The sequence below is a fragment of the Homo sapiens genome, chromosome 2 (genome assembly GCF_000001405.40).
Source record: "Homo sapiens chromosome 2, GRCh38.p14 Primary Assembly".
In the NCBI taxonomy this organism is placed as follows: domain Eukaryota; kingdom Metazoa; phylum Chordata; class Mammalia; order Primates; family Hominidae; genus Homo; species Homo sapiens.
In genome coordinates this window covers 128,165,425-128,183,018 of record NC_000002.12, presented here as the reverse complement: position 1 = coordinate 128,183,018, position 17,594 = coordinate 128,165,425, and the positions used below count along the sequence as shown (strand labels likewise).

General features: G+C 40.4%; 1 protein-coding gene across 12 annotated transcripts in view, besides 1 other annotated feature; it reads right to left on the bottom strand.

Annotated features, from left to right (window-relative positions):
- UGGT1 (UDP-glucose glycoprotein glucosyltransferase 1) overlaps nt 1–17,594 on the bottom strand; it is a 104,478-nt gene that overhangs the window by 12,659 nt on the left and 74,225 nt on the right. For all 12 annotated transcript variants that reach the window (NR_027671.3, NM_020120.4, XM_006712635.5 and 9 more), the window contains 11 exons: nt 12,629–12,731; nt 11,735–11,814; nt 10,257–10,446; nt 9,080–9,238; nt 8,161–8,246; nt 6,121–6,205; nt 5,099–5,187; nt 4,450–4,551; nt 3,149–3,233; nt 1,947–2,129; nt 729–889 (listed from right to left, as the gene is read on the bottom strand). Coding sequence is in view for 11 of the 12 variants with exons in the window: in NM_020120.4 (NP_064505.1) it covers nt 729–889; nt 1,947–2,129; nt 3,149–3,233; nt 4,450–4,551; nt 5,099–5,187; nt 6,121–6,205; nt 8,161–8,246; nt 9,080–9,238; nt 10,257–10,446; nt 11,735–11,814; nt 12,629–12,731 (1,323 nt within the window). In the remaining variant the exon portion in view is untranslated. The remainder of the gene's footprint in view (nt 1–728; nt 890–1,946; nt 2,130–3,148; nt 3,234–4,449; nt 4,552–5,098; nt 5,188–6,120; nt 6,206–8,160; nt 8,247–9,079; nt 9,239–10,256; nt 10,447–11,734; nt 11,815–12,628; nt 12,732–17,594) is intronic.
- Nucleotides 3,490–3,784: an enhancer, noted in NCBI's record as "tiled region #10373; HepG2 Activating DNase matched - State 5:Enh, and K562 Activating non-DNase unmatched - State 12:CtcfO". NCBI's record gives its function as "activates a minimal TATA promoter and a strong SV40 promoter by Sharpr-MPRA in HepG2 and K562 cells {active_cell/tissue: HepG2 | K562}" and the evidence as "EXISTENCE:reporter gene assay evidence [ECO:0000049][PMID:27701403]".

The following is a 17,594-nucleotide window of genomic DNA, read 5'->3' as shown; positions in this document are numbered from 1 at the left end:
TAAATAACACTCACACACTGGAATAATATGCAGCTATGAAAAGGAATCAGGTCTCTCTCTATTCACTGAGAAGATGTATATGACATTAAGTAAAAAAAAAAAAAAAAAAGCCAAGTTACAAAATGTATAAATAGGTAGCATATTTTGTGTAAAAAAAAAAAGAATACACATTCACAGCTGTTTCTGTAAGAATTAAGAAAATCTGGAAGGATAGACAGTCAATAAGTTGGGAGGTTATCTGCTGTGAGAACAGGAACTGAGTAGGAAAGAGAGAGACAGGATTAGGAAGTTTTTTTTACACTGTATTTTTTTTTTTTTTTGAGATGGAATCTCACTCTGTCATCCAGGCTGGAGTGCAGCGGCGTGATCTCAGCTCACTGCAACCTCCGCCTCCTGGGTTCAAGCAATTCTCCTGCCTTAGCCTCCCGAGTAGCTGGGATTACAGGCGCCCACCACCATGCCCAGCTAATTTTTGTATTTTTAGTAGAGACGGGGTTTCGCCATGTTGGCCAGGCTGGTCTTGAAATCCTGACCTCAGGTGATCCACCTGCCTTGGCATCCCAAAGTGCTGGGATTAAGGCATGAGCCACTGCACCCAGCCACTGTGTATTTTTTATCATTTTTATTTTTCAACCATACCAATGTATTACCTATTCACAATTTTAACCACACAAAATCAATTTTAAGGAAAACCCCGTAACAGTGTTAGGAGTGCTTCTTTTCAGTACCTGATATGATACTTTCGCCCGGCTAAATGACTGGCCCAGTACCCTGACTTCCAGAACCTGTAGCCGTCCATTTCTCTTCGGCTGTCACAGAAAGGAGTGTAACCATAAGGAGCACCATCCAAATTGAAATCTCTTAACTCTTTCAGATCTGTTCGTACAATCTGGAGAATATAAAAAGTCATTTGTTAAGCAACCATGCAGACAGCTCTAATGCGGTTTCCTTCAGATACAGAGTGGCTCGCTTAAGGCAGCATGGAAGGCTGCTCCGTGGTTAGTGGCACAGGCACTAGGGGCAGATGCACTTTGATTGCTCCACTTATTACCTGGTTGACTCACTAACATGTAAGACACTTCTTAGCAAGGTGTGTGGGAGTAGGAATAAAACAAATTTCAACTGCTTAGCCTTTCTGTGCCTCAGTTTCTTCATCTGTAAAATGGAGATAATGATAATGACAGTACCTATCTCACAGGGTTGCTGGGAGGATTATGTAAGTTAACATATGGATGGACAGATGTAGAATAATGCCTTGCCCATCGTAAGTACTCAACAAGGATTAAATGTGGCTATGTTACAATCAGGAAGGCACACTTCAGGCTAAGCCAGTGGAAGAGAATTCCAAAGAGGTGAGTGAAGTCTCTGTCCCAGTGACTTTCACACACATTACATCCTTCCACTCAGGTGGCTGACTTGGGTTTCCGCCCGCTCGGGCTGAAGTGGAAGGCTGTGGGCAGACGTACACTTATGCTGTTTGAGTTTGTATGCTCTAAAATCACATGTTCCCTTTCACTAAGTCAAACCCTGACGGCCGGAAGAATATCCGGAGGTTCCCTACTGCCAAAGCCATGTATCCACTTAAGCTTCGTCTATTACCCATGACAATAACTCCTATCTTTTGGGCAGATAATTAGAGATGATGGCAAGCACTGCTAAATGTTAATTTTCTAATTTTTAGTTTTCATGTTAAATGAATTAAGTCAGATACAAAACTGCACACATTATGTCATCACAATGATGTTAAAAAGACAGAGAAAAAGATGTAAAGGAGATAAGCTAAATGCAAATTTAAAAAGTGATGACATCTATGTGATACATATTTTCATATTTTCTAAATGTAAAATAAGCATGTCCTTTTCCATAAGTGGAAAAAATAGCATTTAAAAAGAAGCAATTTGTTGCTTTTAATACAAACTGTCAAAACTTGGCCTTTAAGGGCCTACCTGATCAGCATCCACAAACAGGAACTTGTCAACAACTAGTGGGAAAAGTACATCCAGGAAGAGGATCTTGTAACCCCAGATGATACGCTGTTTTTCAGTTTGTTGATGAAGCCACCGGGGCCATTTGTACTGAACAAGCTCATACTGGAAATTGTATTCATTTGCCATGTAAGGTATAAACTCCTATTTTTAGACATGGGAACAACAAATAATCATTTCTTCTGATTAAGAAAACTGCTTTCATAATGTAAGCCAACCACCATGATACGGGACAAATAAAACACATTTACCAAAACAGTGGTCTTACAAAGACCGGCCGTGACCCACTCATGACTACATAGAAGAACAGATATAAACCTTTGTCAAATCCCCATTTCTTTATGACTTCTGGTCACCACATGAAATGACAGAATGTTCAAGAGAAGGATTTTAGATGTATATCCCTCTGTGTGTGTTTTTACAGCACATGAACTTTAAGTCCATTTGTCTAAACTTGATTTCAGTAAGGCATTTACTGAGCTTGATGACAAGCCTTCCTCGAGGCCAGATCTAACCCAGGGAATAACACTGCAAAGCCAGAACTCTGGACAAATGTGTTGTCCTTTTTGAATAAGTCTTTCAGATTCTAAGTATAAGCACCTTTAGGCGCCAGCAGTAAAGTGCTTATCAAGGAGAATGGTTATTGAATATATTAAAAGTCACTTAGTAAATTCTACAAGAAAAAAAAAGGATGCAAATAAATCAACTTAGATGACAAATACTGACTGATATAAGTAATGCAGAAAACATTCCAAGTACGTGTTTTGTTTTGCACAGAGGAAGCACTACTTCCATACATCATCTAGGAGTGGTTCATGCTAACACCAATCATTCTCTTCAATGTAAACCATCGCTGTGCTTTCTAAATTAAAGCAAGCATGCAGGCTTCAGAGGAAGGAAACGTTATCTCAGTAAGACACTGCTAATAATAACAACAACAAAAGACTCTCCTACCATATCATCCAAGTTTTTAAACACAATTTAACTGTTTCCTTCAAATAGACCAATCTGGAAGAATAATCAAAATAAAAATATGCAACCAAATTAGGGTATCTTAGTAAATGGAAAATTTGCTAAAGTATACAGATAAAACAAAAGTCATGAAAAATATACAGTAAATATCTCCTTAATAAGAATGTTTTCCCTTTCTCTGTGAAACAAACCTTAAATGTGGGGGACAAGTAATTCTTCAAGAACCAGAATTTCACAGGAGTCTTGGTATTCTTCAGCACGGATAGCATCATTATGCTGCCAAACAAAAGCAGGTAATTAATAACAGCTTTCCAATGTTATTTAACCTCAACATTATGTAGAGTCAATCACGAGACACCTAAATGCTCTTTACGGCAGAGCTAACTAATGGCTCAATTAGGCCGAGGGAGACGCTCAGTGATGGAAAATGAAAAATTGTACTTACTCCAACTTATGAAGTTATCACTAAAGAGAAGGGGCATTCCTCACCTATAAAACTACACTTAACTGACAGAGGCAAATGTTTTAATTCTGTTACACCTCTAAATAAACTGCTTCATGAACTGATATATTAGTTATGGTCCAGATGAACCCTGGAAATCGGGGTAACTGACATCACTCCCCAAAACTCCTGTCACATGACATCAGCATCTGGTGCTAAGGGAAGAATGTGTAACCACAGCGCCTCCTGCAGCCTACACAGAGGCCCTGCTTTAGAGAGGAAGGCTACCAGCTCCGGCCTCCTTACTCAGAAAACAAAACCACATTTTTGAATGGAGGAATTTAACCAAATTCGGTTGTTATTATTGTCACTATTTTAGGTAGGATATTATTTCTTGGAAATAAGAGGGCTAAAAATGAGACAAATGACATTTTGATTTTCTATACTAGATCTGTAGTGAAAAATTAAGAGTGAACAGAGCCCTGGCAATGAGAAAAGTGACTCTCAGGCCTTCCTGACAGTGCCTCTGGTGACCACTACATCAGGCAGCCCTAGCCCGTGGCCTCTTCTGGCTGTAGCTGTGTGACCTTAGACAAGTCCCTTCACACTCGGGGCCTCAGCCTGTTTATAAAACAGAAGTGTTCACATGTAAGAACTAAGCTCTCTCCTGGCTCTAAAATCCTGTGAATCTTTACAAGGCAGTGAAGTATTCCATGGTTCTGTTCTGATTCTATTCTCTATGTCAACCTCCTAATCTCTGGGTTAAGCAATGTTTGGCAGGCAGTAAACAGTACAGTCTATGAATGTGTACAGTGACGTTAAAGGGCTGCAGCCTTGTAATATCCAGAAGCACTCACTACATAGTTCAACTTCACAGAGACGGCGGGATCAAAACAAATCCAATGATAAATGGCAAGCCAGTCACAATGCTCAGAGTGCTTCAAAGACACAGGAGTATAATGAGCAGAATCCCACAAAACCTTTCCTCTCTAAATAAGAACACTGACCAATTCATTCATCATATATAATGAAATAATCAACAAGACTGACCGAAGAAATCTTTCGTAGAGATGACCAGATGCAACGGAGAAAATATTAATTATGTCATCTTTATCTTGCTTCACTTCCTCAGTCTTCTGTCCTGTAAAGCCCCTATAACAATAAGGGTAAAAAAAAGACCACTTGAAACACTCATACAGACACACGGCCTTTGAAAGTAAGAGGAAAGAGACTGCGCTTCCCATCCTTCCCTAGCGGGTGAGCTGCAGCAGGAGTGGTTATGAAGCTTCCCTCACACCCTGGAGAGACCACAAGACTGACAAAACCAACCTACAAAAAGAATGTTCACTCTCCGACAGTGTTGTTTTAGGAAGAGACTGAACACAGGCTGCACCAGAATGCAACTTACACAACGGGAAGTAAACTGAGCAGGGAGCAGTCAAATTTCCAAAGAGCAGGTACAGGCAATGAGAGTCACAAAGTATGGAGCAGAAGTAACTTCCCCACTAGGAGACATGAACCTCTTTTGGATCAATCGAGTGGAAAATACTCATCTATGCCAAATATAAGTGTGAGATGTAGCTGCACAAAGTAGAATGTGAAAGGCCCAGACAGAATCACAAGATGCAAAAAGGAGGGATGGATGGTGCTTATATCTCAGTTTTTCCTTAAAAACATAACTCTTACAATGTCAACTTACCATTTGAAGGAATCCCAAAATCCAGATTCATTCTCACTCGTTCCATCACTCAGCAAGTCTTCGTTCACCATATCTGCCTTCTTCTGAACCTGCAATCAAATGTGATAAACCTTACTCCCAGTATGTCTCACAGGCATAAAACTGCCTCTCACTGGATATACACTGTGAGCCTGTCATCAATAGGGAATTATCAATCAATTCTCTCACAAACAGGCACAACCCCACCCAGAGTCTAGAAGGATTCAATAGAAGTATCTTCGCCAGGACATTCACATCATAACCTTATGTGAGGAGACAGCAACCTCTTTTAATTAGATGAACCCCATTTTCAGCTTGCAACATAGGCAAAGAGCCGCAAACTCAACTGTGCAGTGAAACCAGAAGCACGATTCAATGAGTCAACAGCTAGTTCCAGGGAAGAGTGTGGCTGCTGGGGGCTCTAGCTGTTGGGAGGGAGGTATTTCATGTTATGACCAGTTTTCAGGATTCACTAGCACAAACAGGGGTTTCTTCTTGGCAGTACAGTGACCATTTTTCTTCTCAACAATGGATGGCCTATTTTAGGTTTCACTGTGTGTAATGATTCTTTCTTCAAGAATATACTGTACTTGAATTTAAGGCACTAAGAGCTTCAACATTCAGAGAACGGAAAGTACAAGTCAAAAGAAATTAAATAGGACTATCATTTTATTATTGTTGAAAATTTCCATTGCCAGTTCCCCCAATATTGAGAAAAGAATCATCAACAACACTATGAATTGTGGCTATATAAACAACATAGCATCTATGAGAATATTTTATATAAGATGGGACATGTTCTGCACACCGAGATTACCCAAAAGGTACAATCTTTCAGTTGAGGGAAGCCACAAACTCACAGTTACAAAGACATTTTGCCTTAAAGCAGTATCCCTATAATTGCCATAGCAAATTCCAAAGAGACTCTTGGGCTGGTTCCAAGATACATATTTTTAAATGACAGCTGTCCAATAACAGAATGCCACTACTTTTACCAAACTCACCTTCACTTTAATAATTTTGCTTTTGAAGTTGTTGAGGACGATAACCACCTCATCAGCATCAGGGGGAGAATCAGTGCCATCGTGGCTTTGCGAGAAAAGAAAGATCAATATTACAAGGCACAATTCTCAAAAGGCAGCAAATGCTCTCAGAGCATCTGAGTCCATCATCCTTCTCATAAAGGAGTTTTCCAGATCCAGCTATCTTCTTGCTCCTTAAGCTCCTTCGAGCTGCACAGAAGCACGTGTTGAAACCTCTCTTTATATAAGGTGCATGCCCAAACCTCCTTTGTGAGTCCTCTTGCAAATTACCCATCACGTAGTGAGAGGCACCCATGTGTGGTAACCACATGGTGAGTACTAAACAACCGCCTGTGTTCACAAGCTCTGAGCCAAGCACAGAGCCTTCGATAAAGGAATGCAGGGAACAGGCCCCCTGAACCATTATTGGAACCACACTGCCTCCGCTCTTTTTTTTTTTTTTTTTTTTTTTTGAGACAGAGTTTTGCTCTGTTGCCCTGGAGTGCAGTAGAGCAATCTCGGCTCAATGCAACCTCCACCTCCGGGGTTCAAGTGATTCTCCTGCTTCAGCCTTCAGGTAGCTGAGTTTACAGGCACCCACCACCACGCCTGGCTAATTTTTGTATTTTAGTAGAGACAGGGTTTCACCATAGTGGCTAGGCTGGTCTCAAACTCCTGACCTTAAGTGATCCACCCTCCTCGGCCTCCCAAAGTGTTGGGATTACAGGCGTGAGCCATCACCCATCACTCCCGGCCACTACTCTTTAACTGGAATAGTGTTGTAAAGGAAATCTGCTCGCTCTTTCTGCCGGAGGCAACAATCAGTCAACAATAGGCCCTGTACTCAACCTGGTGTCTATACGCTACCAGAAAAACTGTAACAAATTCTATTTGCAGGCAGACAGGAGCAGAGGAAGAAAAATTAAATGTATGTTTCCCTACTAATCAACAGCAATGCCTAAAATTTCCAGTCACCAAATTTCAAGGTGCAGAAAGTCATAATTACAACATGAATTCACTGCATTTGCTGTCATCTAGCAGAGAGTAGGGTTCTCAGGCAAAGGAAGATTCTAATGGGGGTGGGGCCCTGAACAGCTAGGAAGAGGGGGCACCATGCTCCTGGGAAGGGGAGGGCTGGCAAGGGCCAGGGCATCCAAAAGGGAAGGAGTTCGGAAGTGCATCCCAAATTTTGTAAAACCTTATCTGAGGAAAATGTTATGTGGGAAAAAACCTTCTACTGTTTACAATGGTGTTATTATAATACAGAATTCTTCTATTTCCTGGGTAAGAACCAGGCACTAATCCACTGTTTCATGTGTGTCGCTACGGAGCTAATTAAGGCAAGGACATACTACAGAGTGCTTCAAATGTGCCCTAATGGAAATCATCCCCTACACAACCTGACGGGAAGCCTCTTCACACAGTTTAAAACTAATTTAAATTGTGTTAAGCAGAATTTATATCAAACTTTTTTAAAGGCAACATAATTATTTTTAAACTAATAAATATGTGCAGTAAACCTTAAGGTAAAAGCTGGCTATAGAGGGAATGTTCTTACTATGCCACCACAGACCAAGGAATACCAGCACTAACAGCACAGCTTCAAGACCAAAGCTTCCATGTACTGTGCATTTGCAAATCACTCAGGGTCAACACATACACTCTCTGGGCAGAAAAGTGTGGCTGTTCTTTCTTTCTTTTCTCCTTTCTTCAAGTTTCTCATCTGCCTATCTATGAGCCGCATCACACTGATAGAATGATTTGATTCTGGGATATTGTTAGCACAAAGGAATAATTAAAGAATAAAGCCTGACTATACTCATTAGCATCTATACCTCTTATTATCTAATTCTATTCTAACAATTCTTCCATATTTAATTTCCTGGAAAAACCACTGTTTCATCACATACAACTGCAAATTAAATTCATGTTGCCTGGCTAACTGCCAGGGTAGTATTCAATTAGAGCTAATGCTCATTTCTAAAAGTTCTGGGATAATGTAACTGCATCACTTACTCCTACCTGTAAATTCTATAAATATCTTCAGAGCGTCCCTTCCTAAGTCTGAGGATCCAAGCTCCTGGGTTGGCTTTCAGCTGAAAGTAGCCCTAGGACAAGAAGAAAAGTCCAGTTAGCTCTCTTCAAAACACCAAAATGTTATTTCTGAGGAACAGTTACTTCTATTTCTGAAATATCAATCAACTATAATGTGAATAACACAGTAAACAAATCAATGCAACTCTTAAAAAACCAAAACTACACATTAAAAACTCTAGCACAGACCAGGTGCGGTGGCTCACGCCTGTAATCCCAGCACTTCGGGAGACCACGGCAGGTGGATCAACTGAGGTGAGGAGTTCGAGACCAGCCTGGCTAACATGGTGAAACCCCATCTCTACTAAAAAAGGACAAAAATTAGCCGGGCATGGTGGTGGGTGCCCGTAATCCCAGCTACTCAGGAGGCTGGGGCAGGAGAATTGCTTGAACCTGGGAGGCGGAGGTTGCAGTGAGCTGAGATCACACCACTGCACTCCAGCCTGGGCAGGAGTCTCAAAAAAAAAAAAAAAAAAACTAGTACAATAAAGGCCAGTCACACCAATAAATCATCTGCTCTTTAGCTGTGCTTCAGGGAAGAATCAACGTGTGATGCATGAATAAGTGTTGCACTTCCAAAGAAAAGAAAAAGGCTGTCAGCTCATGAGCAATCTATTTTCAGGGGGCCAATTCAGTTATAGCTGAGTATTCCAGCATGTTTTTTCTTTTGACATGTAATTCTAACCTACAAATTTAGCTGAACTAATGATTTCTATATTGACCAAATTCAGCCCATAATGAATTTTAATCTCACTCTATGGTTAAGAATGCTAATTGCTCCATCATAAATTATAGTGCCCAAATTAACGTAACTACAATATCACTATCTGATGAACAGATTATTTACCAGATTGGCCATAACAATGGTGTCCACAATGACCGGGTTGGCTGAAGTTCCTAAGGTAAACTGTAGTCCCCGTGGAGGCTGGCCTGTGGTGATGTCGTAGCAATGACCTTCCAGTAACAGGTATTCCAGCTCATACTCAGCAGCCACTACACTGTCCACCTGCAAGCCAAAATCCAATCACTTGAATGCACTCAGAGACAACATGAATAAATCTGAAATGCATTATGCAAAGTAAAGGAAGCAGACAAAAAGGACTTACATAATATATGATCATATTTTAAGAAATTCAAGAAAAGACAAAAGTATAATGACAGAAAGCAGATCAGTTGTTGCCTGAAACCAGGCGAGAGGAGGCTACTGTCTGCAAAGGGGTATAAAAGAACTTTTTGGGGTAATGGAAATGTTCTGCATCGTGGCTATAGTGGTGGTTAATGACTGTATACAATTATAAAAACTAGGTTGGAAAGAGAAAGGAGAAAAAAACAATAAGGACGTTATTCTAAAAATACGAACGAGGATAAGATACTAAATGTTGAAAAAAATTAAAGACCTAAATGCAAAGACATCCTGTACTCACGTATCAGTAGAAAAACTTGCACACAACATTCATAGCAGCATTATTCATAACAACCAAAAAGTGAAAACAACTCAAATGTCCATTCGTGAAAGGATAAATGAAACGTGATATGTCCATAAATAAAATATTATCTGGCAAGTTAAAAAGAGTGAAGCGTCGATACATACTACAGCATGGATGGATCTTGAAAACAATTTGTTATGTGAAAGAAGCCAGTTACAGAAGACCACATTTGATTCTATTTAGACAAAATGTCAGAATAGGCAAATCCATAGAGATACAAAGTAGACCAGCAGTTGCCAGGGGCTGGGGAAATGAAGAGTGACTGCTAATGAGTATGGGGCTTTCACTGGGGATGCTGAAAACATCCTACAATTACATAGTGGTGATGGCTGCACAACTCCGTGAAGATACTAAAACCTCTCAACTGTACACGTTAATGGGGAGAATTTTATGGTATATGAGTTCCATGTGAATAAAGCTGTTGTTTAAAAAAATATCATACCTGAACACTGATGTCTCAGAGGCCCACCTAGACTATGATTCAATCTGCTGTATTATACATGATTAGGTATTTGGAAGCAATAGATATGGTCTTACCTCTTCTAAATAAATATTATCAAGATCATATGGTGTTCTGACAGATTCTACCATCCAGCTCTCAGGTGTGTTCAAATTCAGAGTGAACAGTGGAGACTGAGGCATATCCAAAAATTTTGCGATTGGACCCTTAGCAAAACTATTGTCTGAAGTGAAAGAAATCTCTGGTTCTAAGACATAACGGTAAAAGCTGAAATTGAAAAGGAAAGTGTTAGATAATTTTCGATGTGACAACAGGACTTGAGTGCACAGCCCTTACACAGGTAACAACTGGTTAAAACAAATTAGATTTGGAGGAGTACCCTTCCAGATTGGGAAAAGTGTTTCCAAAACCATCTTTGACCTTATGATGCCTCCTTGTGGTTGCTGCAGATGCAAGAAAAGGCAAACAAGGACAGCACTGAGGAGGAGTGCTCAGTGGTGGCCTGTGGTGATGTCGTAGCAATGACCTTCTAGTAACAGGTACTCTAGCTCATACTCAGCAGCCACTATACTGTCCACCTGCAAGCCAAAATCCAATCACTTGAACGGAGGCCACTCGTTCACATGGATGGCTGTCAGGGTCACAGTTAGGTCCTGGGCATTTTCCTCCCTTCAAGGAGGACTCATTTTTCTCTTTAAAACCAATTCCTAAATACTGATTGGGCTCTCAGGCTAGTCCTGAAAACACTAATAATGTAAACATTTCCCCTATACGAGAATAATGGTGGAAGCTGGGAACCCTTTGGTTACTTTCAAATGCTGTTTCAATCCACTTAGAAGCTAACCTATAAAACACAGCACACTGGCAAGTTAGAAATTTCCCATAGCCACAACGCTAACTGCTTTCTGTATCACTTTTTTCATAAATGACCATTCCAAAGCTCATGACAATATATAGCTAAGCAAGCTTCCTCTAACATGTATATTCCAACTTGAAATGAATATTCTTCTTTTAAGATGAAAAGCACAAATGGGGCCAGGCGTGGTAGCTCACACCTGTAAACCCAGCACTTTGGGAAGTGAGGCAGACGGATCACTTGAGGTCAGGAGTTCGAGACCAGGCTGGTCAACATGGTGAAACCCCGTCTCTACTAAAAATACAAAAATTAGCTGGGCATGGTAGTGTGCACCTGTAATCCCAGCTACTAAGGAGGCTGAAGCAGGAGAATCCCTTGAACCCGGGAGGCAGAGGCTGCAGTGAGCCAAGATCATGCCACTGCACTCCAATCTGGGCGACAGAGCGAGACTCCATCTCGAAAAAAAGAAAGAAAAGGCACAAATGCAAGCAGCCTGGGTTAATGCCACCTAAATGCTACAAACACACTATGTTCTTAGAACTTCTGATTAGAATGAAATTTGGCAAAACTGAACATTTAGTAAATGACCATTTCAAACATGATGTCCACCTATAAATCCATCTGATCCTCTAACATGCAATATCAGAACTTGGATTCAGTACAATTTCTTCAACTGTTTTCTTACATAGCATGTTTTACCTTTTTAAAGGCATGTCAGAAAGTTTGGATTGGCAGTTCATAAATACTCTCAGATTCATGTTTATCAGCTGAGCCAAAACCTAGAAGGAAAACCAGATGACAAAATATTTAGGATTTTTTTCTTCAGAAATTTATTATTTGACACTGAGCTATTAATATCTCAAGAAAAGATATAAAGATAACAGCCACAGAGTCTGCACTGGCGAAACTTCTGGAAATCACAACTCTACTGCACAATCTACATCACACATACATAGGACGTGGCCAAAAGCAATGGGAAGTAGGCTGCTGCAGCTCACTGCTCCTCACACGAAGGCAGTTCCTGTGGGGAAGCAGCAGGCAGATCATGGAAAAACTACAGGCCTCAGAGTCACCGCTCACATGCCAAAGGATGAAAAAACAGAGATACCAATACTCACAAAAAAGGTTAGAGATTTATTCGGCAATGAATGTTGGAGCGACTGTCTTTGTCAAAGGTCTTTTAAATGTCCTAAAATTGTAACACACTGTACATGTCTAAAAGACATGCCAAGACAAAAAATCCATGGTAGTTATAAAAAAGGAAAAATGAAAAAACATATTTATTTTATCTCTGATATTATAAATTAAAATATAGCATACCTTAATTCCAGGATGTTTTACTCTAAATGAGGATGTTAATCACTTTTTTAAATTACATGAGGCAGCCAACCACACTTGCACCAACTTTCTAGGGCTGTGAGGCTGTTTCACAGCCACTGTCAATCTTTGTAAAGATTGCTCTGCCCTAGAACCCCATAGCATTGTCCAGTGCCTGTTGAAGGCAACTCAAGGAAAACGAAGCTCTCAGTGAATTTCAGAGCATGTGACAACTTCAAACAAAGGTGATGTACACTTCCTGCACAGCGTTCCTACCAAGAGCAAAGGAGCAAGTCTCTGTGCTTCTCTGGTGACAGGGTCAACGACAGCCACAACATCAAAGTATGTCTCCCCTTCCTTCGGCCTCAGTTTGATTGCACTGAAAGATCACAAGGATAAAACATTAACCTGGAGGACACAGGAAACAAAAGTTTTTTTTGTACAATATAACCTTCAACCTTCTTAGCATTTCAAAGAACTTTAGATCTAGAAAGACTAGACTATGACAGTGGCCAACTATATGATTCTGTCTATCCCAAAGATTGCAAAACCTTAATAATGGATCTGAAATGGACTGAAAGGTCCATGTAAAGAGAGGAAAAGCAGCTTGAAACTGTATTTAACCAAAAACTGAGAAAAGCTACTGAAGTTAGCTTCTGATAACATTATGCCAGTTTTTACTTCTTGGCAAGAAGAGTACAAAAAGAAAAGGAATAAATCAATTTTTAAAAAATAATGAAAGAACATTCCAGAAAACCTGCAAAACAAAGAAAAAGGAAAAATATAATCACAAAATATTCACTATCCCAGCCCACTTAGCTGCATCTCTACGTAATCCTTTCTAGATGCCTGTATAAACATTAGTTGTAGATACAGATTAGCAATTTCAAAACAATTTCCTTCCGTCTCTCACTACTGTAGCATAAAGATTTCCACATGCTGTTACACAACAAGCATCCTCTATAAGAAATAATATGCTATTCACCAAATGAAGCTGTCAGAGTTTACTCCAGCTTTTCTTTACTGCTGGACATAGAGATGGCTTTCAACCTGTAAACAATTTGTACAACCAACTTTCTCCACATTTGGAAATTTCTTTAGAGTCAAGGAAGTGCTAGACATGAGATTATGGAGACAAAGGATACAAATACTTTGCGGCTAATAAGTATTGTCAACCACATTTCCTGAAGAACTAAACAAATTTACAAGGCCAAAAAATAAATTTCACCACATCCTTCGTCAGCATTAAGTTATAGATAGATATTTTGCCTGTTCTTTTCCTTATTTACTTTTTTAGAGACAAGGTCTCACTCTGTGGCCCAGGCTGGAGTGCAGTGGCGTGATCATGGTTCACTGAAGCCTCTAACTTCTGGGTTGAAATGATCCTCTCAACTTAGCCTCCTAAGTAGCTAGGACTACAGACACATGCCACCATGCCGGGCTAATTTATATTTTTTTGTAGAGATACGGGTCTCACCATATTGACCAGACTAGTCTCAAACTCCTGGCCTCAAGTGATCCTCCTGCCTTGGCTTCTCAAAGCAATGGCATAAGCCACCACACCTGGTCCTTGTCTTTTTTTTTTTTTTTTTTTTTTTTTTTTTTTTTTTTTTTTTTTAAAGACAGAGTCTCGCTCATTCACCCAGGCTGGGAGTATAGTGGCGTGATCTCGGTTCACTGCAACCTCCACCTCCCCGGCTCAAGCAATCCTCGCGCCCCAGCCACCAAAGTAGCTGGGATTACAGGCACATGCCACCATGCCCAGCTAATTTGTGTATTGTTAGTAGAGACGGTGTTTTGCCATGTTGGCCAGGCTGGTCTTGAACTCCTGGCCTCAAGTGATCTGCCTGCCTTGGCCTCCCAAAGCACTGGGATTACAGGCATGAGCCATCATGCCCAGCCCCCTTGTCTGTTCTTAACTGAATGGTAACTTCCTGTTGCATGGACTCCCTGTGAAGTCACACAGACTGGTGACTTAAAAGGAGCAGGAACCTCTAATGAACTTTTAAAAGGACTCAACTTGAAAGGATTTAAAATTATACCCAATTTTTGAAAACCATTAACTGTTTAAACCATTATACTTTGTTTGCTCTGAACAATACTATAATGTGGTTACAATACTAACCACTACTTTTACTTTTTTTTTACCAAACAACATTTACCTAAGTGGGATGAATACAAAAGAATACCACAAAACAGCATAACGAAGAAAACTGGAAACAATTTACATGCTCATGGAGGTTACTTCACATCTTCACTGCTTTGGAAATAACCATGAGAATAGCTTTGTATCTGTGTTGAGGTAGGTGCTTTCGATCTCTGGCATTATTAACAATTTCAGATTAAGTCCACTGCCAATCATTATTCTTCTAACACAACAAAACTTCTGTTACTCTAATACAACTGTTCTCAAAGTGTGACTCCAGAGCAGTGGCATCAGCTTCCCCTGGGCATTTGTGAGAAGCAAGTCAGGATCCAACCCAGACTTACTGAATCAGAAACTCTGGGGACGGGTCCAGCAATCTGCATTTTAACAAACTCTAAGTAAAAGCCAAATTTTGAGAGCCACTGCCCTAATATAATTTGCACCTCTCTGCTATTCTAGAATTCTAGAAGGAAAAACTCATTAGAAAATAGCATTATACAAAGGCTCACAAGGGAACCAGAGAGAGAGTCTCAAAAAGGACTCTACACAAGAGTGTAACATCTGGTCATGCCTGCCCACACCAGGTTTGGGGTAGAGATTCACACAACATGTTCACATTCTGAGCCAGCAGTGTTCTAGGTGATCAGCAACAGGCACACCACAAATTGACCTTGTGAGGTCCTTTACTTACCCCACATCTCTAGAACAAGAAAAAGGGACTCGAAAAAAAACAAGGAAAGAGGAGTATTTGTGTGGAAATGGGAACAATATGAACAACATCATGTTTAAATGTATTCACTATATTGTGCAGAGAAAAGACCAGAATAAAACTAAAAGTGACAGAGACAGGAACAAGATTTGGAGATTATACACATTTGCCTATGGTTCGTAGAGTAAATGTCAACGAATACTGTGCTTAGTAGCATGAATGCACACGGGAATCCCCCAGGAGCAACTTGTTAAAATGCAGGTGCTGATTCCTCAGGACTGGGGTGGGTCCAAAGCCTGCATTTCCAACAGGCTCCCAGACAATGTCTTGCTGCTGGTCCATGGACCACACTTTGAGGGCAAGAATATACATAACTGATGGTTCAGATCTTTCTATTTCTAGCATAAATGAGAAACTTCTGAGTTAAATGTAATAAACATTCATTTAACTGACACAACTCCCAATAAGAGGAACTTCTCTAATAGGAATTATAATTTGTCTCATAATAGAATTTATAATTAAGGTATTTTAATTATACAAAACATGGAGACCCATGGAGAAGAAGATTTCTGAAAAGGGAAGAGGTCTTTGCTCAGGACTCGCTACCTTGGGCAAGAAGGGTAAACAAGATGGCAGGTTGATTAGGAAAGGTTTCCTCCCGCTGGTGACTAATGAGTTACTTCCTGAAAGTTCACAAAATGTTGAGAAAATGGGTGCAATCTGGGTGCTAATGGCCAAATTCAACAAGGATTATCCAGGAGCCATAAGAATCTTCACCCACTGCTGACATAAAAAATTAGGACACACAACCAGTGCAAACAGAGAGGGCCTCCATTCCAGCCTACAATCATCAAATGATCTCACCACGCACACCTGATCCCCACAAGGATGGGTCATAAAAAACACAGGCCCACTAAACCAAAGTCCAATCCATGCCAGACTGATCAGCTCAGAAACACAGAGGAATAGGACACAGGCATCTATATTTAAAGCCTCCCTGGGGATTCCGAGGCACAATCAGTGTATATGTATATACTTGCCAGCTACAGCAAAGGCTATATACATTACTGCGCAGGGCTCTTTCCTAGAAACAATTAAATCTAATCATGAGGAAGCAACTCAGACTGTGAGACATTCCATAAGACAACTGTCCTGGACTCTTAAAAAATGTCATCATAAAAGACAAAAGACTAGGAAAAAAAATGGCAAAGAACTCTTCCAGATTAAAGGAGACCAAAGAGACACAACTCTGTAATATGTAATCTGGACCAAAACAAATACAAAAAACAGTTGTAGAAGGTCATTACAAAGATACTGGAGTCATGTGAACAGAAATTGTGTTTTAATATTACTGTATCAAGGTTACATTTCTGAGGTCAGCTAACAGTACTGCGGAGAAGTCCTAGCACTCAGGATACACATGCGGAAAACGTCAGACATGTTACATCAGGATGTCTGCAACGTATTTCCAAATGGTGCAGGAAAAAATATGACCGTGTGTATGCAAACATATAAATAAACTACTAAAGCAGTTACTAGAAGTACTACACAAACACACACATGCAGACACACGCACACAACATGCACGTGTGCAGATGACAGAGATAAAGCAAATGTGACACACCAACAACTGGTGAATCTAAGTGAAGGATATTTGGGTGCTCATTATATTAGTCTTTCAACTATTTCTAGGTTTTAAACTTTTCAAAACAAAAAAGTGAAGAACAAAAAGGCAAACTCCCTCACTATGCTAAGCTTATTTAAAACAAAAGTTTTCGGCCAAGCACCTTGGGAGGCTGAGGCAGATGAATAACTTGAGCCTAGGAGTTTGAGACCAGCCTGGGCAACACAGTGAGACCCCATCTCTATAAAAAATACAAAAACTAGCCAGGCATGGTGGCAAGCGCCTGTGGTCTCTTCCACACAGGAGGTTGAGGTAGGAAGATCACTTGAGCCCAGAAGGCGGAAGGTGCAGTGAGCTGAGATCACGCTACTGCATTCTAGCCCAGATGACAGAATGAAACCCTGTTTTTTTTTTTTAAAAAAAGTTTTCAATAAAAGATGAATGAGACAAGTACTTTAATAATCTGTTTATCTTACTATTATTATGATTTTGAGATGGAGTCTTGCTCTGTCTCCAAGGCTGGAGTGCAATGGCACGATCTCTGCTCACTGCAACCTCTACCTCCTGGGTTCAAGCGATTCTCCTGTCTCAGGCTCCTGAGTAGCTGGTATTACAGGCATCTGCCACCATGACTGGCTAATTTTTGTATTTTTGTAGAGATGGGGTTTCACCATGTTGGCCAGGCTGGTCTCAAACTCCTGACCTCAGGTGATCCGCTGGCCTCAGCCTCGCAAAGTGCTGGGATTACAGGCATGAGCCACCA